Source organism: Homo sapiens, chromosome 7 (genome assembly GCF_000001405.40).
Source record: "Homo sapiens chromosome 7, GRCh38.p14 Primary Assembly".
Lineage (NCBI taxonomy): Eukaryota > Metazoa > Chordata > Mammalia > Primates > Hominidae > Homo > Homo sapiens.
In genome coordinates this window covers 21,889,943-21,910,545 of record NC_000007.14, presented here as the reverse complement: position 1 = coordinate 21,910,545, position 20,603 = coordinate 21,889,943, and the positions used below count along the sequence as shown (strand labels likewise).

General features: G+C 42.8%; 2 protein-coding genes across 4 annotated transcripts in view, besides 2 other annotated features; one reads left to right on the top strand and one right to left on the bottom strand.

The window, feature by feature from the left end:
* Positions 1-9,647, top strand: part of CDCA7L (cell division cycle associated 7 like) — a 45,001-nt gene extending 35,354 nt beyond the window's left edge. For all 3 annotated transcript variants that reach the window (NM_001127371.3, NM_018719.5, NM_001127370.3), the window contains 7 exons: positions 2,039-2,416; positions 3,907-3,978; positions 4,090-4,257; positions 4,915-5,040; positions 6,287-6,436; positions 7,432-7,568; positions 8,194-9,647. In NM_001127371.3, the coding sequence (NP_001120843.1) occupies positions 2,039-2,416; positions 3,907-3,978; positions 4,090-4,257; positions 4,915-5,040; positions 6,287-6,436; positions 7,432-7,568; positions 8,194-8,224 (1,062 nt within the window). In that variant the 3' untranslated portion in view covers positions 8,225-9,647. The remainder of the gene's footprint in view (positions 1-2,038; positions 2,417-3,906; positions 3,979-4,089; positions 4,258-4,914; positions 5,041-6,286; positions 6,437-7,431; positions 7,569-8,193) is intronic.
* Positions 8,707-20,603, bottom strand: part of DNAH11 (dynein axonemal heavy chain 11) — a 358,801-nt gene continuing 346,904 nt past the window's right edge. The window contains exons 77-82 of the mRNA NM_001277115.2: positions 17,879-18,121; positions 15,741-15,923; positions 15,547-15,662; positions 11,098-11,210; positions 10,426-10,566; positions 8,707-9,539 (exon numbers count right to left, since the gene is read on the bottom strand). Coding sequence (NP_001264044.1) covers positions 9,292-9,539; positions 10,426-10,566; positions 11,098-11,210; positions 15,547-15,662; positions 15,741-15,923; positions 17,879-18,121 — 1,044 coding nt within the window. The 3' untranslated portion in view covers positions 8,707-9,291. The remainder of the gene's footprint in view (positions 9,540-10,425; positions 10,567-11,097; positions 11,211-15,546; positions 15,663-15,740; positions 15,924-17,878; positions 18,122-20,603) is intronic.
* Positions 11,185-12,384: an enhancer, noted in NCBI's record as "BRD4-independent group 4 enhancer chr7:21937780-21938979 (GRCh37/hg19 assembly coordinates)". NCBI's record gives its function as "activates an origin of replication core promoter dependent on BRD2, P300/CBP, MED14 and CDK7 cofactors, and independent of BRD4, by STARR-seq in HCT116 cells {active_cell/tissue: HCT116}" and the evidence as "EXISTENCE:reporter gene assay evidence [ECO:0000049][PMID:35650434]".
* Positions 12,174-12,233: an enhancer, noted in NCBI's record as "active region_25701". NCBI's record gives its function as "activates an Ori minimal core promoter by ATAC-STARR-seq in GM12878 lymphoblastoid cells {active_cell/tissue: GM12878}" and the evidence as "EXISTENCE:reporter gene assay evidence [ECO:0000049][PMID:35858748]".

Here is a 20,603-nt window from a genome sequence, read left to right as displayed (position 1 = left end):
TTCACAGCCAGAAGCTGCTAAAGACTAACTTTTGGCAGAGACTGTGTAGAGGTATAAATAAGCCGTGACTCCTAGCCTGCCATGTCCCTCACTTGTCCTAGGAGAGAATGTAGAGCATAAAAGCCCGCATGGTAGGCTGCTTCGTTTGATAGTGATTTTTTGCTATGAGTAGCAACATAGAGCTGTGCCAGCCTGGAGGCCCCAGGTCTCCTTTGGCTTTCTTTGCAGAAGCTGTTTGTGTGGCAGTTCCATCAGTTCTGGCCAGCAAGTCCCTAGCTTCTTGCCAGCACGATATTAAGATGCTTCTAAAACCCTAATGGGCATCATCAGTTAGCAATGTACTTATTTTCTGTTCTTTAGTGAAGTGATGTCTGGTTATTCGAAGCATTTGCATTTCTAGTGAGAGAAAGTGAATTACCCCAGAAGTCTTCCCTCCCACCTGCCCCCAAGTCTATGGACTGTGTGATGTAGTTACATAGATCATGATATAGCTTACAGTTCAGCACAGGCCCTTGCAAATTTTATTTTAGAATCCAGTGAGAAGAAAAGCATTGTTGCCTCCCAGCCCACCCTCCTGCCCACCCCTGTGGGAACTGGCGAACCTATCTTTCTTGATAATGGGACATTGCTGTAACTTGGTTTCCAGGGGTCTGCTGGCCGGATGCGAAATAACCACATCCATGTACTACACTTGTGCTCTTCTCTTGGGTCTGATTCTGGGCTGCTGTGTACCATTTGTTCTTTCCTTCCTTCAGGCCTCTGTAGTGAGCTGTTCCACATCTGGTAAAGAGAGGCCTGTCGATGATGAGGATGGTAGATAAATGGATCAAAACTGAAGTTCTTCCCTGACAGTGTCCCCTGAAATTGGGTTCCTTTGCAGTACACCATTTTGAATTCTGAAGCTATTAATATGGGAAGTTCAGGGTATTAAAAAATAGATAAATCAGTGCCATATAGTCTTACTCCTCACTTGGCTTGGTGTGGATATACCAGGGTTGGCAGTTATCTGCGTTTTTTTTCTCCCTGTGTCTTATTTCTAACTTTAGTCCAACGAGAGTTTGGGGTTGATGGTCGTCACCGGGGAGGAAGCAGAGTCCCTGAACTGATCCTGGGTCCGTATCGGTGCCATTCCGTGTTCTTGGTAGATTTTCAGAATTCCCAGATAATGGTTCCCAAAGTTTTCTAGCTTCTGGTCATGGAAGGATGCCCAGAAGACGTCCTAGATCTTACATACTTAAACCTGTCTCTGTACCACTGCTAAGAGTCCCGTCACATCCAAGCTGTCACCTAGGTGATGTATCCCTGTTACTGCCTTCCATATTTACTGTGTTCTCACTTGTAAAACAGAGCAATGTTTGAATGCTGGAGACCTCTGCCATGTGGAATTTGAAAATGTCGGGTGAGGATTTCTTGAGTTGACTGAGTGGTGTTTTGCTACAACCTGTAGAGCTTTGTGACCTGGTTTCACCTCATGGCTCTGAGGGTTCCAGAGAAGGGAAAGGTGCCCCTTGACTGAGGACGCAGTGGCAGGTCATCTGCCTGTCCTGGGTCACTGCCCTGAGGTGCAGTCAGCTCTCCCGCCCTGTTATTCAGGAGTCTGGTTCCTGCTATTTAGAGGAGACCAGTCAGCATTTTTCCCCCGTTGCGTCCTTTCCTGTCTGAAGATCACATCTGTCATGCTGCTGTCTCTCCTTTTCTGTGACTGTCTCTCCTCTTGCTGGTGCTCCCTGGTTGTCCCACGGTGGAGGAACCCACCCTGTCAGTGTTTTGCTTACAGCCCTCATGCTCTGAATGGAACCCATTTCTGTCGCGGGTATGATGGTGCACAGTTCAGTAGTAGGTTGCCTGCTCTCTGATTTTATTCATCAACCAATTTCTTGCACATTTAAAGGAAATTCAGAGGGAACTCATAATATGAAGGGGAAGCTTTTCATTTTTCATGTTTTTTCTCATAATGCTGTCAGTTGTTTTAAATGCATGTCTTTTTTGTGGGTCTGTAACAGTGTCTTTGTGCTTTTTCTTGCTCTTATTTTATTAGGTCGTGGAGTCAGATTTGAGTGATGATGGCAAAGCATCTTTGGTGAGCGAGGAAGAGGAAGATGAAGAAGAAGATAAGGCTACCCCTAGAAGAAGCAGGTCTAGAAGAAGTAGTATTGGTCTTCGAGTAGCCTTTCAGTTCCCCACCAAGAAGCTGGCCAACAAACCAGATAAAAACAGTTCTTCCGAGCAGTTGTTTTCTAGCGCACGCTTACAGAATGAGAAAAAAACAATTCTTGAAAGAAAGAAAGACTGTAGACAGGTGATACAAAGGGAAGATTCTACCTCTGAGTCTGAGGATGACTCTCGGGATGAGAGCCAGGAGAGTTCAGATGCTTTGCTGAAAAGGACCATGAACATCAAGGAGAACAAAGCCATGGTGAGGCTTCACGGAGGGCGTCCTGGGAGTTGGCACCAGGCTCTGGCAGCAGTTGCTGGGCTCCCAGAACCACTTTGCTCCTACAGCTGCTGCTGTTGCTTTGGCTTCTGTCAAGAAAATATACTCTGGGTATTGTGTATCCTTTTACTTTTCCAGAACCCAGAGCAACTATTACATGATCAGCTCTGGTTTGGGAACAGAAAGAGATTCCCCAGCACCATTTTTAGCCCCTACATGGTGCCATAATGCTGCTTACTGTTGACCAAGCTAAGTTCTAAGTATATAGTTGTGTTGGGGATGAGAGGGGCTGAACAACTAGCCCGTTCCCAGCAGAGTAAAGCAGGGGAAGTGGGATGTCACCAAGTCCACTGAGAAGTTGCAAGGAGCAGGTTGGGCAGGTAGCTTTTCACCACAGAACCACTCTTCTATGGTGACCAGCACTGGTTCTGAGACTTCTGAAGGAATGGAAGAGGTCTAGGAATTAAAACAACCTCAACAGTGTTAATTCACTCTACATTGTCTTCATTAGAACAATGAATGGAACCAGGTGAAATCTTTGTTACATATATTTGGTTTTTCTGTATATAATCAATTACTGTTAATCTGATCATTGTAGAGAATCATTGTTTGCTTCATAATTGTTTATCTACAGTTTTTTTTTAAATAGTTCTACCACTTATCCCTTTTAGCATTTTGGTAATTTTTTAATCTTTTCCTTTTAAAAAAAGAATGATGCAGTGATACTGTATATGCAAGCTTATATGTCTAATATAAATTACTTACAAAAATGGAATGCCTACTTTCGGATTATTTTTATCCTAAGAAACATTTTTACTTAGCTAAGGGAAATTTTCAGCACTGTATCCATCTGCATCTTTAAAATAAGCTATTTTCTTTATGATTTTTTTGGTGGCACTCATATAATTGTATAAACTAAAACGAATCCTAATTAAATTCTCTGGCATATTAATGCCTATTATTTGGTATTATTAGTTCACGTAGGAATATCTTCATAGATTACTTTGATTGATGAGAAATTAATCTATTTAAAGAATCAGACTTTTGGAGTTCTAAATAACCATCGAAATAATCTAGTTGAGCTTTTTCTTTTTTGAACATCCTGAAACTTGAGACTCACGTGTGCAAAATGAATTGTCCCAGGGTCACACCGCCTTGGATTAGCCTCCGAGTCGGGATCGGAACCTCATGCTCCAGGTCTTGATCATTCCAGGACTGTTTTCATAGTGTTGTGTTGTCCTTATATATAAGGAATAGGCTAGTGTTCATTCATATGAATGATGACATCAGCATCTCAGGTCTGGAGGTACAATCTTTACATGTGAGGTTAAAAGTATAACTGTTGTGGGTTATATAAACTATTCAAGTTAGGTTTCTTATGGTGGCAAAATGGAAGACTTGAGATAGGTGTTGGATGACCTAAACCTGGAGCCCTATTTTTGTAAGATTCTTTCTTTTGTTCTGAACTTCAGCTTGCCCAGTTATTGGCGGAATTGAACTCGATGCCAGATTTCTTCCCAGTACGAACCCCAACCTCAGCTTCTGTAAGTAGAACTCCTTATAATTATACCAATACTGATATATGGTGATCAGCCACCAGACGGCTTTTATTCGAGAGAGTCCCCAGTTGTCTCTGTCTGTGCTCTTGATTTCAGAGGAAGAAGACAGTGAGGCGGGCCTTCTCGGAGGGACAGATCACGCGGCGTATGAACCCAACCCGGAGTGCGCGGCCTCCTGAGAAGTTTGCTCTAGAGAACTTCACTGTCTCAGCCGCTAAATTTGCGGAAGAGTTTTACAGCTTCCGAAGAAGGAAGACAATTGGGGTATTTTCTGACTAATACATGAATTAGTTTTTGTCTGAGCTACCATCCCTCCAAACGTGAACGCACGTCACTGTCACCCCAGGGCTGGTTCTGACCCCGTGGGTCTGCGGCAGCTGAGAACTTGCATTTCTCTCTGCTTCCCAGGTGATGCCATTGCTCCTGAGATCACACTTTGAGAAGCAGCCCTGGTCTAAGCTGGAGGTCACAGAGAGAGTCTTTTATCCAAGCCGAGCTGAGAAGCAGCTCATTTGTTAGGACCCTGCTTTAATCTCTGCTGCAGGCAATAAAGAAAAGTGCAGTGATTCCTCCTTGCCTTTCTGTTTTAGGCATGAGGCGTTTCAAGCGCTTTCAGTTTGGAGGGAGCAACTGTGGACCCATTTGTGGGTTTGGCTGTTCAGTGTGGTTCACCTCTCCACAGAGTTTACAGCAAAGAACCAAAAACCTTGAGTTCCTCCTTTATGATTGTATCGCCTTGCTGAGAAGGAAGCTTGGCAGGTGGCAGGAGCTCAGTAAATAACTAAATGAAATGGCTGCAGGGAAATAGAAGAGGGACGGGGTTAACATTAATGGTGCTAGATCTTTGAGAGTTTAAAATATTTATAATTTTTTTATAACTGCTCAACACATCTCCATGTTCTGCTTGTGTTCATTGTGCAGGGGAAATGCCGGGAGTACAGACGACGTCACCGTATATCTTCTTTTCGGCCAGTGGAGGATATCACCGAAGAGGACTTAGAAAATGTTGCCATAACTGTTCGAGATAAAATCTATGATAAAGTTCTGGTAAAGTATACATTAATTGTCATTCTTATTGGGAGTCGAAGGCATTGGTATTGAAATCTCACTTGTTTTTAAACTCTATCAGGGCTTATGCCATCTCACCAAGGGCTCAGAGCCAGGCTCTGAATTGGAGGGTCAAAAGTCAGCTGTACCTGGGAAAGGGGAGGCAGCCTAGTGCAGTAATTCCCATCTGGACGGCGGTCTCTCTTAGGGATGCGTAGAATCTGGGGGAAGGGAACGGTATAGTTTAAAAGGGATTTTTATATGTAACTGTTAATGGTTTAAGCATATAGTTTTATGTTCTAAATATTGAAAAAAGTATATTTGGGGGGTAATATAACCATAGAAATTAAAGTTTGGCAGAATATCTTTGGTAGGAAATGGGTTAAATTTCTTCTAAATGGTGATTTAGAGGGAGGCTTTGCGTTCTGCATTTTTTTTGTGTTTTTCTGGATATGTAACGGGACACTGTCAAGTTTTAAATTTAGTTGCCAATATTTAAAAAAAAATAGATCTCACATTGAAGGTATCCAGGTCTGCAGAGCTAGGCTGGGGCCGAGGTGATGCCACCCAAGGCTCATTGCCCCTCAGTCACCTGTCACCTTTCAGGGGCTCTGCCACCCCTGCCTCAAGCTTTTCTCTGGTCTCTCTTCCTGACAGCCTGATCATTTCATTCCTTCTGGGTCTCTGCTCAGCCTCATCTGACCTAATATGTTTCTCTGGCCACAGACCTGTGATGGTTACATTCTAGAGCAGTGGTCCCCAACCTTTTTGGCACCAGGGACTGGTTTTGTGAAAGACAGTTTTTCCATGGATTTGGGGGGCAGGAAGGGGATGGTTTCAGGATGAAACTGTTCCACCTCAGATCATCGGGCATTAGATTCTTATAAAGGGTGCACAACCTAGATCCCTCACATGTGCAATTCACAATAGAGGGTTTGTGCTCCTATGAGAATCTAATGCTGCTGCTGATCTGACAGGAGGCAGAGCTCAGGCGGTAATGCTCGCCCGTCCGCTGCTCACTTCCTGCTGTGCAGCCCGGTTCCAAACAGGCCACAGACTGGTTCTAGCCTGGGGGCTGGGGACCCCGGTCTAGAGACAATGCTGTGGTTCTTAGGAAAACAGTCCTGCTTGATTCGAGGAGACGGGGGTATTTCTTCATATACTTGGAAATGCACATGGTGGCATCTGGCCTCATTGGGCATCAGCATATCCCTGTGTTCACCTGCTCACTGCCTTCCCCCTGTAGGGTAACACGTGCCATCAGTGTCGACAAAAGACCATCGACACCAAGACAGTGTGTCGGAACCAGGGTTGCTGTGGTGTGCGAGGACAGTTCTGTGGACCATGCCTGCGGAACCGCTATGGGGAGGATGTCAGATCGGCATTGCTGGACCCGGTAGGAACAGTGTTTGCATTTGTTGTAAATTGTATTGGTGAAGGAAGCAAGCTATAAAGATGGGCCTCCTGGGTTCTCACTGGGAACTAGGGAGCTCCAGAACTCTGGTTTTTCCCTTCCATTTGTATCTTAAGGCTCCAGGGAAAATGAAAAATAGGGATTCCTTCTGGAAGGAGAGCAAGCTGACCAGTGAATAGAAGAATTAATGTTGTTAGATTTTCCATTGTCAGAGCAAAACTTGCTTACAGTCCTCTAGTTTTATGCAAGTAATCCCTGTACCTGTCCTTCAGCAAAGTGATTTCCCTCTGATTTGTTTTGTTTTTCCTGGGCCAGGCTGAGAGGGAGGTGGAGATTGCAGTATAGAGTGCTCTCTGTGTGCCTGGCACTGTGCAAGCTGTCGCTCACTCTGTTACCATAAATTTGTTTAATCCCATGAAATAGGTGTATAACCTCTCTCAGCTCCCTCGGTAAAATGAGACATAGTATCATGGTGAGTAGGCACGACCTTGAGCCTGGGGCAGTCCTGCTCCCGAGTGTGACCTCTTAGGCAGCAGTCATGGGGTAAATATATGGTCCTCAACTGACAGACAAACAAACTGCTGCTCAGGTTAGTCATTCAACAATAAGCACACATTGAAAGGGCTGAAATTCATACCTTGATATTTTGGAAACCTTGTGCTCCTAAACCAGGGCTGACATCCTGGGCCTGTGACCTGCATGCTCGCACAGGGCCCTGTGCTTGGCCAAATGCTTGTGAAAATCTCCATAATTTTTAAGCAAGGAGCCCTAAAAGGTGTCATTTTTCAGTGTTTGCATGTGACGTGGGGTGATTCAGCCTTCCTGCCTTGTGAGGAGCCCCCTGGGACGTAGACTGAAAGATGCCATGTGATTAAAGGTTGGAGGAGAGGCCAGCTGAGCCATTCTGGATCCGAATCCCAGTTCTTGCCAGACCCTGTAGATAATGAGCGAAGTGTCTGCTGTCATCTCTCTGTTAGGATTGGGTGTGTCCCCCCTGTCGTGGGATCTGCAATTGCAGCTACTGTCGGAAGCGTGACGGCCGCTGTGCCACAGGAATCCTCATTCATCTGGCCAAGTTTTATGGTTATGACAATGTTAAGGAATATCTGGAGAGGTAAGTAAGTCTCTAGCAGCTTACAAAACAGCTTGAAATCTTGAGGCTGAGCACAGGAGACCCTCTGGGCAAGTAGTTGTTGCCTTCCCGTGTGACTTACTTACTTATATAAACCACGAGTACCATCCATTCTGTATCTGTTTGCATTGGAAAAGCTCAGGCCTGATATTTTCCCTATTAGGGAATCTTCTCCTTTGCTAGATTTTTCAACTCAACTCCACGTTGCCTTTAACCAAAATTTCTCCTTGAGGTGTATGACAGAAATGGAAGGAACAAACAAACAAGGCAGGCTGAGGGGAAAGACACAGATTATGAAGAGGCAGCCATAATCCTAGTGCAGAGAGAGAGTTCAGGGCAAGAGGACAGAATGTGAGTTACAAGTTTCATTTATGTAATTAATAAACTCTGAATCGTGGTTCTGGAATGCGGGAGTGAGGCAAGTCATGCTTGGGGCGTACTACACCAGAGGGTATACGGATATTGATGCATAAATTGTCAGGATTTCGAGTGTCAGGAGATCTGGGTTCTGGCTTTGTACTCTTAGATGATTGTGGAATCTCTCAAGCCTAGAATGCCATTTGTGTATTTGTACTACTTTACCAAATACTTCTCATCTTTTTCCCAGCTTACAAAAGGAGCTGGTAGAAGACAATTAAGAGGAAAACAAACAGAACCAGCCACCTCACCATAGAGTACTCCAACAAGACATGCATACCATTGGTGCCTAAGAAAGATTTTTTTACAGTTGTGTTTTTATACAGAAATTCTTTGTAGAAATTACTATTTTTTGTTAAAGATTGTTTATATGCTTACAAAGATTTCTCAGGAAGACAGCAGAGCAGAGGAATCTATATAGATGTATGCACAGACCTGTCTGTATGCTGAACTTTGTTAAAAATATCTGCCAGTTATTAAAAAGCACAGTTTAAATGGGGTGGGGTTAAAGTTCAGGTAAGTAAGTTAGAGAGAAAACATTGTATGATCAGCTCCTGCACTTGATCTATCTATCTTTGGCTTCCCAAACAGTAACTCACTCCAGGCCAAGTGTGCCTTAGCACGAGTGACCACAGTTTAATAGACCACACACATCGTTTAACCTGCTCTTGGTCATTGGAAATTTACACTGAACAAAGTGCAATTAACTGTAGAACAGTTTTATTTTTATTAAAACTTGACTGAACAAAAGGGGACCATCAACATTGTAGACACTGGACACTGGAGGCCTTACAGAGTGCTAGCCTCTTCCTTCAGGACTCACCTGGGGCCTGCTGCTTTTATATTTTGAAAGAGTTTAAGGGCTAATAATTTAATTTGTTGTTTGTTAAAAATTAAAATCTCCGTTCTTTCCGGCTGCATTGCTTTTGCATGTTCACATATGATGTACTTTTATGATGTACTTTTTTTTTTTTGAGATGGAGTCTTGTTCTGTTGCCCAGGAGGGAGTGCAGTGGTGCAACCTCGGCTCACTGCAACCTTTGCCTCCTAGGTTCAAGTGATTCTCCTACCTCCTGAGTAACTGGGATTACAGTCGTGTGCCACCACGCTCAGCCCTGAGTTAGTTTCTAGTATTTTTTTCTGACTTTCACTCTAAGGATAGCGTTGAAAAAAGAATGCACGTGTGAGTTACTAAAAAGTTAGAATAATGTGCATGGGAACAGTGCAGCAACATGCTAGAAAATCCTCACTGCACTCCAGCAGAGGCTAGAGGAATGCCAGTGTTACCTTACGCTTCTAGAAGCAGAGCCACTCCAGCCAGAACCCATTTTGCAGTCTTCTCTTCGCTCTTCAGCCTGAAGGTCCAGATGTAGCTGGGGCCTCTCAGTTTGGTTCTATACACAGGGCACTCGTAGGTCTGTTTGGTTTCTTGTCTGTCCACGGGGGTGGCTTTTGCAAAGATGACCGGCATAGGGCATGCCAGCTCCTTGAGACGGGCTTCAACAATGGTTCCTGCTTGGGTGTCCCAGCGGGCGCCTATGGCAAAAACACAGCGGTTGCAATTGTGTGGCAGCTTGCTACTAATGATAATGATCAAGTAAGTTGTTTGATGCAATAAACATTCAACATTCTGGTTTTGTCATATTTTTGCTTGTCAGTGGTATTTTTACTGAGCTGGCCGGACTGAGCTTTGAAAGGTAGGTTACCCTGCCTGCAGCGGAGGCACCGCTTTGCTTCCATGCGTAGTGGTTAAACTTTCCTGTGGAAGTAAGCTGATTTTATGAAATGGGATTCTAAGAGAATTCACATACACTGAACTAGTTTGCCCTCCCTTTAAAAATCTCCAGTTCACCACATTTCCTCCCCGTCGCACCTTATTCTTTTACACCAGAACTTGTGGCACTTGCTTTAAACTGAAAAAGGAACATCTTGGTAGGGACTAAGTGTCCTGTGGAATAAATGCATGGCCAGATAAATTTGGAAAATATTGCATAGTCTAACCCCCTCTTAGAGATTCACCCTACGCAGTAGCATCTTCCAGGCTTGGAGAAGTCTTGTAGTAAAACATTAGAGCAAATTTACTGACAGTTTTTAAACAATAGAAGAAAGATTTTGAAATGATTATATTGAAAAGCAAAAAGAATGTAAATTCAGTCTAAGTCTAATGATGTTATTCAGTGGCATTAACATCCAGATATATGTGCAAAATTTAAGTGATAGCCATCACCCCAAATATTACAGTTTGGTTCACAGTGGACACACATCCCAGCACTTAAATTATTTAAGAGGAAGAAATGAGATAATGACTAGCATAAGGTTACTGTGTGAGTGAGGAGATGCTGAGAAACAGTAAGCAGAGGACAAACACTGATCTGAACCTGAGTAAGAAAAGGTTCCCCACTTACCCCTTGGGGTGTCTTACCCTCCATGAAGAGTCCGTGGAGGTATGCACCTTCCCTTGGCGGGTGTCCATAATCTTCCTTTGTTTTTTTGGTAACATCAGCAGTCAAGCGCGTTTTATCCAGGGGCCACTCATTTTTTCGAGCCATCGTCTGCATGATTGCTTTGGAAATATAACAAAAATTGAATAGGATAAAAGTGTTGCATGTAAGGTTCCCGGGAGCTACCAGTAAATTGAGGCATCCTTTAGTCCCATAGGGTGTTTTAGGTTCTTGGGCATTGGCACATGGCTGCGCTGGAGCAGGGGGTTGGCCAACTAAGGCCTGCAGGACAAGCTCGCTGTTTCTGTAGATAGTTTTATTGGAATAGTCACAGCCATTTGTGGATTGTCTGTGGTTTTCGCACTACAGTAGCAGAGAAGCTATGTGGCCCTTTCCAGAAAATGTTTAATAAGAGCACACCGTGCCCCACCTCACTTGGCTACTCTTGCTGCTATAGGAGGTCCTTTCCCTCCTGCTGCTACTCGCCTGCCCAGGACTCTGTTTCCTCTATAGCTGCTGGTCCTTTCTATAATGGCTGCTGCTTGAGGATTGGTGAGCAGGGCAAGGAGACGCCATCATAGGTAAACAAAGCAGGGCTTCTGGTTAGGCTGTGGTCCTGTGTGCATCAGGGGCTGCACTGCGTCAGCCCTTACCAGTTAAGAAGGACTGAGGGTTGAAGAAGCCGGAGAGCCACACGACAGCCGGAAGGGTAAGGTCTTGTGTCCAAGTATCGAGTTCTCGGCATCGCAGGAGGAGGTCATTGAACCTGGTTTATGGGAGGGAGGAAGAAAAACTTGCTGTTCAGTAAAATAGCCATTTTCCAGTATGTTCTGTTGTGGGCGGTTAGGGCAGGGTGGTGGTGGAGGAGAAGTATACCACTGCTAGCTGGTAAAATCCTTCCCTGACAATTTGCAGGGCACTGTCCCTTTAAAGGGCTAGTTTGTTTCCCATTGGAGACTTGATGACTGTAGCGTTTACATTAGAGCAAGATACACTGAGGAATGTGGAAAACTCATTTCCATTTATGCAACAGCTTTTATTAGAGCCTCTTCATGCTATGTGGTGACTATACAAAGGTCATCACCCTATGACTTGGACTGACAAGCGCCAACTTGGAGGTATGGACAGGGTGTCTGAGGACCAGGGATGGCAAGGCTGTGATGGTGGTTACAAGACCAGAGTTGCCGGGAAATCTGATTGATAAGCAGAGGGAACAGCATGTGCGGAGGCAGTGGAGCACGTGACGGCAGTCTAAGCACGTGCAGTAGCTGCCTGAAAGTGGGGAGGAAAAAGGTTAATTAGGAAAACAAGTCAGCCAGGAATGGCACGCCGGTGGGTTGAGAAACGCTGCTGTTACGTACATGTTCTCTTCTCGGCTCCTCACAATTGGGCAAGGTAGGAAGTATTTGCAGTTGACCTATAAGGAAGCTGGCTCACAGAGGCTAGGGACAGATGAACCTCTTCGATAAAATTAAGAGAGAAGTGAAACCTTGAATTGTAAGTTTCAGAGGCTGCTTAAAGGGGACCAGGAGAATGGAGTAGAGAGCATAGCCTCAGTGTAAAAGCCAGAGTTCTCTAGAAGGAAAGGCTGGCACTGAAGTTTTCTAGGACCTTGTCTGCTTCAGATATGCAAAGGAAGTGGGGGTGAATGAGGAAACACCCTGACAAACCACATGGCAGAACATGTCTGCCTGAGATACTTGCCTGACTCTGGGCCGTGAAGAAGAAAAGGCTCAGAATGCTCACGGTCAAACTTACGTCACCACAAGGAAAATCTCTGTGCCCGGACCTATATTAAGTTCTTCCAGATAGCTGGATCCGAAAAAGCATACTCGACGATAAGAAGAAGAAACAGCATAGGCACCACACAAAGGAAAAAGGCGAATGAGAAAAGCAAAGGCAGGAAGACATTTCTCTCAAAATGTTGCCATCATGAGGATAAACACTGCAGACAATTTGTAACAACTAAAACAAGTGATTGTTGATATAAACAAGATCATGACTTAGAAGGGATCAGGTAGGAAATAGTAAGGAAATTAAGTTTGAAGACCCCAAATAAGAAGTAGAAAATAAAATTATAGAAATGAAAGCAAAAGTGAAACAGCGTAAGGGAGAATAATAAAAACAAATGGAAATAAAGAGGTAAAGGGTTAGAGTGAAAGCAATAAAATGAAAGCTGAAATGAGGCCAGACGTGGTGGCTCACATCTGTAATCCCAGCACTTTGGGAGGCCGAGGCAGGTGGATCACTTGAGGTCAGGTGTTCGAGACCAGCCTGGCCAACATGGTGAAACCCCATCCCTACTAAAAATAACAAAGTTGGCCGGGCATGGTGGCACATGCCTGTAATCCCAGCTACTAGGGAGGCTGAAGGCAGGAGAATCGGTTGAACCCAAGAGGCAGAGGTTGCAGTGAGCTGCGATCACGTCACTGCACTCCAGCCTAGGCAACAGAATGAGAATCTCTCAAAAAAAAAGTGTAATTCTAGAAAATTTGAGTTTTCCTAAATTATACCTTTGAATCTATACAATCAAGGGCACATCATGTTCCAAGAAAATTTGGTAGAGAGTAATCAATACTAAAATATAAAGAATAATATGAACAATGAAGAATCCCTGGATGGCCAGGGGAAAACATGAAGCCATTTATAAAGGGAAAAGAAGTATGCTAGCTTTTGACATCTCCACGGCAGCATTTGACAAGAGGAGAGTGATGGCTACAAAGGCCTCCAACTGAGGGTGTTATTATATTTTAATAACTGGCCAAACTGTCATTCAGGTATAGACATAAGAGTATAGGGCATGAAAAACCACCAGCAAATCCAACAAACAGGAAGGTTTATAACCCAGGAAATAGAGAAGTCTTGAAGAAAATACTTACTTGTAAGTATGTTTAAACTTCTCAGGAAAAGAGAATAACAGTCATAAAAACGAAAACAGGAAATTATAAAACTAAGCTAGGCACCCTTCCAAAAATATAAAAAACCTGGAACTGATAATTATGGACGATGAAATATACTTTATTTTTTGAGACAGGGTCTTGCTCTGTCACCCAGGCTAGAATGCAGTGGCATGATCATGGCTCATTGCACCCTTGACCTCTTGGGCTCAAGCAATCCTACCACCTCTACACCTTGAGTAGCTAGGACTACAGTCGCATGCCACCACACCTGGCTAATTTTTATTTTATTTATTTTATTATTGTTTTTTAGAGACAGGGTCTCATTATGTTGCCCAGGCTGGCTTCGAACTCCTGGGCTCAAGTGATCCTCCTGCCTTGCCCTCCCAAAGTGCTGGGCATGAGCCACTGCGCCCAACCTGGACAATGACATCTAAATAATTAAGAAACAGATTGGAGACAGTTGAAGATATAATGAAGATCACCCAGAACTGATGAAGTCTACAAGTATACAGCCGAAAGACACACTGAAAACGTTAAGAGGTCAGGCAGATAAATGTAGACATGAGGAGAATACGATATTCAGAGAAAAAAGTGCTAAGACTTTTTCAGAATAAAAGCTATGGATGGAATCTCACATTTATGACAGTACTTTAAAAATCCATACCTCAGTACAATAGTAAAATTGTTGAACATCAAGGGTAAAGAGAAACATTTTAAAACTTTACTTGGGAAGGAATGGCAAATATTTAAGACCAGATCCACCCTCTACAATCAAAGCTAGAAAACCATGGAGTTAGAACATCAAAGTGCTGAAGGAAAAATAATCGTGTCCTATAATTCTACGTATAAGTAAACTATCAATCAAGAAGGAGAGTGCAGTGAGGACAGTTTCAGAAACACAAGATGATTTACACCCCCACCCTCCAAGCCCTGCTCTATATTTTATACTCTGATAAAAAAAGAAAAGCCCAGAACAAGATACAAAAAAAGCAATGATGAGCAAAGAAATCAGTACAGTATATTAAAACAAAAATAATGATTGACCACAAACAAAACACAACAAACATAATGTGGCTTAAAATAAGGTGGAACTACAATTCCAGACCAGAAGGAGGTTGATGTTCAGAGGGAAGCTGAAGGCTCTAACATTGTGTTAGAAAAATCAAAAGTGTGGGCCAGGCGCGGTGGCTCATGCCTGTAATCCCAGCACTTTGGGAGGCTGAGGCGGGCAGATCATGAGGTCAGGAGATTGAGACCATCCTGGCTAACACGGTGAAACCCCGTCTCTACTAAATATACAAAAAATTAACCGGATGTGGTGGCGGGCGCCTGTAGTCCCAGCTACTCGGGAGGCTGAGGCAGGAGAATGGCGTGAACCCGGCAGGCAGAGCTTGCAGTGAGCCGAGATCGCGCCACTGCACTCCAGCCTGGGCGAGAGAGTGAGACTCTGTCTCAAAAAGAAAGAAAAGTCAAAAGTGTGCATGCTACAATGTAAAGAGTCTCCACTAAAATAATAGGAATGGTACAGGGATAGTTGAGGTTCATGGAATAATGATTCAGGAAAGCAGGGGGAAAGAAACTCAGCACCAAAAAGCCAGGAATCAACAGCTTTGTGAAACTTCCTGAATTGCTTGCCAAGACCAAGGAGCAATTAGGTGTAACATCAGCACAGATTACATTCAGTAATCTGTGAATTTCTGCCCTAGCTTTGTGACACATCTCTGCAGTTATACCCCCAGTCTAGTTTACTGCATACTGCATACCATATTACAAACTTTCAAAGGTTGTCTATGAGAAGGCAGAGGAATCTCAGGCTTGCAAAGTAAAGTTATAAGATGACACAAAGGCAAATTCAAGTTGCTTTCCATGGCCATTCAACTCTTAACAACAACTCAGGGGATTCTATTGCCATCTACATTTTTCAGATTTAAAAAAGAGACAGGTTATTTTGTCTAAGATCATGTATCAATGAGTGAGCGACAGAATTTCAGTCTTGCTCTGACCCTGTCTTTTAACTATTTTTGCCTTTGATGCAATATACCAAGTAAACTCAAATGAAATTGGTGGAAGAATTTTTTACGGTTACAGGTTGAGAACAGTCACAAAGCTCCGTCTGCATAGTTCTTAGGAAGCATTATTCAGAACACTAACCCAGCACCGAGGCTGCTCAGGGCCAGTGGCAGTGAGGATGGGGTAGCTTACCACTGGGCTAGGCCATAAGTAGAAGGATAAGCCAGTTTGCTCCAAGTGTCTGGTACCGTGTCATAACTCAATGCAAACTGCTGGGCTTCCACAGCAGGAGATAATGCCAATTCCCCCTTGCATGGAGAAAAAAAGCCACACAGTGAATATCTTCCAATGTGCTGAAGTCTACTATAGCCTCACTTTAAGCTTACCTTCAAACTAAGGTCCAGTTGTTCAAGTGATATACGTATTTCCCGAATGAGAATATTCATCCTCTCACATTCTTGGAAGCAAACAAGAACATATGGGCTTCTATTTGAATTTTTTTGCATTATCTCTGCCATGTTGAACTCTTCTGGAAGTTTCTCCAAAATGTCATCCAAGACATTCTTAACCTTAAATCAGTAACACAAAGATTTAGCTCCTTTCTATTTCAGTTTTCGTCATGGTGACTGTGTATATCCTCTACTTTTTGAAGTTACAGAATATATCATACGACTTCCGAAGGTGCCTGCAAATGCATGTGAAGGATGCCTACGGCTCCCAGGAGGTGGGCAGCATGGCAGTGCCAACTCCCTCAGCTGCCTCATTGGTGCCTCTGTACCAGTGCCAGCACTTCCCCTTCCATGGAGCCCCAAATCTGGTCAAGAAGGAGCTACAGTTGTTTGCAGTTTACTCACTTAACATTTAGGGAGTATAGAACTGTCATCAGCTACATGTTATTTATATGTAAAGATATGATCAGAGGAAGTAGAAGCCTATTATTAGGGTACCATATTTTATAATCTGCTAAATTAAAAAGATCCTTTTAAAAGCCACACAAACCAGGGGCTGGGCACAGTGGCTCACGCCTGTAATCCCAGCACTTTGGGAGGCCAGGATGGGCAGATCGCTTGAAGTCAGGAGTTCGAGACCAGCCTGGCCAACATGGTGAAACTCTGTCTCTACTAAAAATATAAAAATTAGCCAGGCATGTTGGAGCATGTCTGTAATCCCAGCTATTTGGGTGGCTGAGGCACGAAAATCGCTTGAATCCGAGAGTTAGAGGTTGCAGTGAGCCAAGATGGTGCCACTGCATTCCAGCCTGGGCAACAGAATGAAACTGTCTCAAAAAATAAAAAATAAAATAGAATAAAAGTCACATAACCCAAATAAGCCTTTTAAGCGTAAGCAAATTCTGCTGAACTATGATGCTGCCCTCCCAACCACGGCATCCTAAAATTCCTAGACCAATTTACATCAACATTTTTAACAAAGAAACTTCTATCTTCTGTAATTGTTGCTCTGAAAGAATGAAAGACATATATTACAGGTATGAGTATGCACATGGTACTCAGACATGCATACTAATTCTATGTAGACAGCTCCACCGAGCTGGAAAAACCAGTCAATATCTAGAAAGGAGAAAAGATGGAGGAACTTTGCCTGTCCTTAGCCTCAGGCAGCTTTCCTTCTTTCCTTGCTTTCTCAGACTACTGCCTCTGGTTCTGACATCATGCCTGCCAGCTGGCATCACTCTGACCGGCAATTTATCAGGTCCTGAAATCTTAAACTCATTTACAGTGGAGGTAGACAGTATATCCAAACGGCCATAAGCATGTGAAAAGATGCTCAATATTACTCCTCAATTGAGGATTGCAAAATTAAAACCACTGTGAGATATCATTACCCTTACAAAATCACAAAAAAGATAGAGCAAGTGGAACTCACACGCACTGCTGGTGGGAAAGTAACTGGTACAGCCACTGGAGAAAACTGATTGGGAATACTATTAAAGCTACACATTATACCCTGTTATCTGGCAATCCCACTTCTGGGTATAGAGAAATGGGTAGTATGAATGGATGCCTTTGGGAGTTACCTTTGCATATTGACTGCAGAAGAATGTTCATGGTTGTGATATTTCTATAAAAGTGAAAAACAAGAAACAACCCAAACATCCATTCACAGTACAATGAAGAATTTTATATTCATATAGAATTCAAAACAAAAATGAACCATTGGTACATGAACAACATGGATGAATCTCACAAATCTAATGCAGAATGAAAGGAGTTAGACATGGATGAATGCGCACTGTATGATTCCATATATTTGGAATCAGGTAAAGCTAATCTGTGATGATAGAGGTAAAGATACTGATTATCTCTGGGGGAGGTGAGGGGTATGTTGACTGATAAGGGGCATGAGTATCCTTCTGGAGTGTTGGAAATGTTATTTTGATCTAGGTGGTGGTTGTATGAGTAAAACCTAGGTAAAAACTTATTGATTTGCACAATTAAGATTAGTAGACTTCAGTACAAGTAAGTTATACTTCAATGAAAAAGAAAAGGAAGGAAAGACCCTCTACCTTTTCTTCTGTAGACTGCCCCAGTTCATCACCACTGAGTGCATTCCTGGGCTGCATCTCCAGCAAAGTTCTGAAGAGAGTGTTGGATGTCACTGTCAGGAATTCTATTTCAGCATTTGGGTGGAGGCCATACAGTGCCGGGCTTTCTGGAGGAAGCATCTCCTCTATGTACTGGTGGTAGCCTGCATAATCTAGGTAGGGTGGGGCAGCAAAACCTGGTGCCAGCATCAGTTCATCTTCAGTCTTGAACCACAAAGGAAAAGTCAGTTATTCCAAATGTAGGTAGGCATCCATTTTCACTTCCTCAACACTTCGAGAAGACCCTGACAAGAAGGCTCCAGCACAATGCTGTCTGGGTAGCAGGCTCCCTAAACTGTTTTATAATCAACAATTTTGCTCTATATGCAACACCAGACTGATCTCTGCGGAAGATCCCAAGGAACACACATTAATCCTATCCCTAAGAAGACTCAGTTTGCAGTGTGCATGGGGCAGTGTGATACATGCACACAAAAGGAATGAGCCATCACAGAGCCTGGGCTACCCTATAACACACTCCCATTCATTGATTCTCCCAACCATCCCCATTTCCCAGAGAGGAAATCAAGACTCTGATGTGAATTTGCTGAGGTAGACATTTGATTTTAATCATAATTCTGAACTCATTTTAGTAGGACTCTGTAGCCTGTACTTCCCCAGGGCACCATACTTTCCACAGTACTGCATCACATCATTTTATATATGATGTGAATTTATATACCTGAATTTTATAATTATAAATAATGATATGTGCATTTAATGAAAAATGTGTGTGTATATAAGTACCATGTATAGGCCATATATACTAAGAGTCAGACCGATCCTACCTTCCCAGGACTTTGAGCTACTCACAGCAAAGTCTGTTGTTTAGGATCCACAGACCCTGAGAGCTCAATACACAGTTACCTACTGAGTGAAAGGCTGGAGAAAGCGGGCTTTTATCGTGCCCATCTACTTCAATAAGGCTGGGGCAAGAGGGTAGACATTCAATTTAGGGGGAAGTTTTGAACAAAGGCAATGTGAATAGCAATAACAAACCCTCTAAACATTAGAATGTAGAACTTCAAAATGTAACAAAAGAATTTATGAGCCTGAGTCTCTGACCAGCCATAAACACAGAGTCAATCAAGTGCTTACAATTTTCTAAGTAACAGTATAATCTCAGATTTATTTTTCCCTGATTGCTCTTTAGTTTCCAGGGACCATTAACCCCTCTGTTTTAATTCTCCCAGTCTCTTGCACCGTAAATCCTGTCTGTATGTGCACTTAAATGTACAGAGGAATGTTATTTTTAAACTATCATCGAATGTAGCTATTTTCTACCTAGATTTTCTGAGTCAGTTTCTGAAATGGGATTTGTCTGTAACTGTGTATGCTACACTGTGGTCCCCTCACTATCACTTGGAGACAAAGTGAATATTCTTTAATTCATTCAGTAATATGTACCCACCACCCAGTACACTACAACAAACCTTAGAAGTATAAGCTCCATATGACCTCGTTATTAAGGAACTCAGAGTCTAAAGAGGACAAAGTAAGTGTGAATTTCCACACAATCATGTGTGTAACAGTGGTTTTCTCTTTCCTTCTTAAACCTGCAATCCAGGTTACTTAGAAAGCCTATGTCCTTAATAAGGATGCTCGACTGCTTTCTGCGAATTCCAAGTGCATTTAAAACATTCGACACAGCATTTTTATTTTTATTTTTATTTTGTACCGGGAGGATTTTCAAGTTATCTAATCCTTCATATTGCCAGAAATGGAAATCTTGACCCGATGAATATGGGAAGGAAGAAGTTGGACTATTTCACCACCAGTATCCATTGGCTTGGCTTTATTTATTCACATTTGTATCATTTCATGTTTATATATAAGAATAATGAAAATTTAAATGTCACCTGGCTCAGGGCGACCAAAATAAAATGGTACAGGAGAGTTAAACTCATTATTATTAGTCTATGATGGATAAAGTAGCCAGAATAAAAATATGGGCAAAATATGAATAAGAAAACCAAAACCTAGAATCCACATATCCCAACTGAACATTATTCCCTAAAACAAGTAGTTGGTCTTCTCTGTTTGTGCTTACTAGGAAATTGAAAGAAATTTCAGAAGCCACAGTTAATCTGTCCTTAATAAATCAAAAAGTTAAAAACAGAACTTCAAGCAAAGAAACTGACCAAAACCAAAACCACTTGGAAAGGTTAAGCTGCCATGGGGACATTTGTTTGAATGCGTGCTCATGTACTGCTGATGGGATTGCAAATGGCCCATGCTCTTTGGAAAGAAAATCAGTCTTTATAGACATGTGACAAGTGCCTTCCATATGGTAGGCAATGAGCGAAGGCAAAAGAAAACAGCCAACTCAAAAGGGCCTGAGGTATACAGCTAGACAGCCTGATTCAGCTTCCATCACTTAATGGGTTGGTGGCCTTAAGAAATGACAATTTATCTGCATTTCAATCTTTTCATCAGTAAAATATTGCTCATAACAGCAACCTAATGGTTGTGGCCATAAGAATTTAATAAGGTATGCAAACAGCTCAGCACACAGCAGGCTCTTATGTAAGTTTTGGTCTTCCTCGTACCCTAGCAGCAGACTTGATTTTAGTATATCTTGCTTTTTCTAGAAGGAAAAAACAAACAAAACCTGAGAAATGTCCTCCATACATAGACTTGTGTTCCC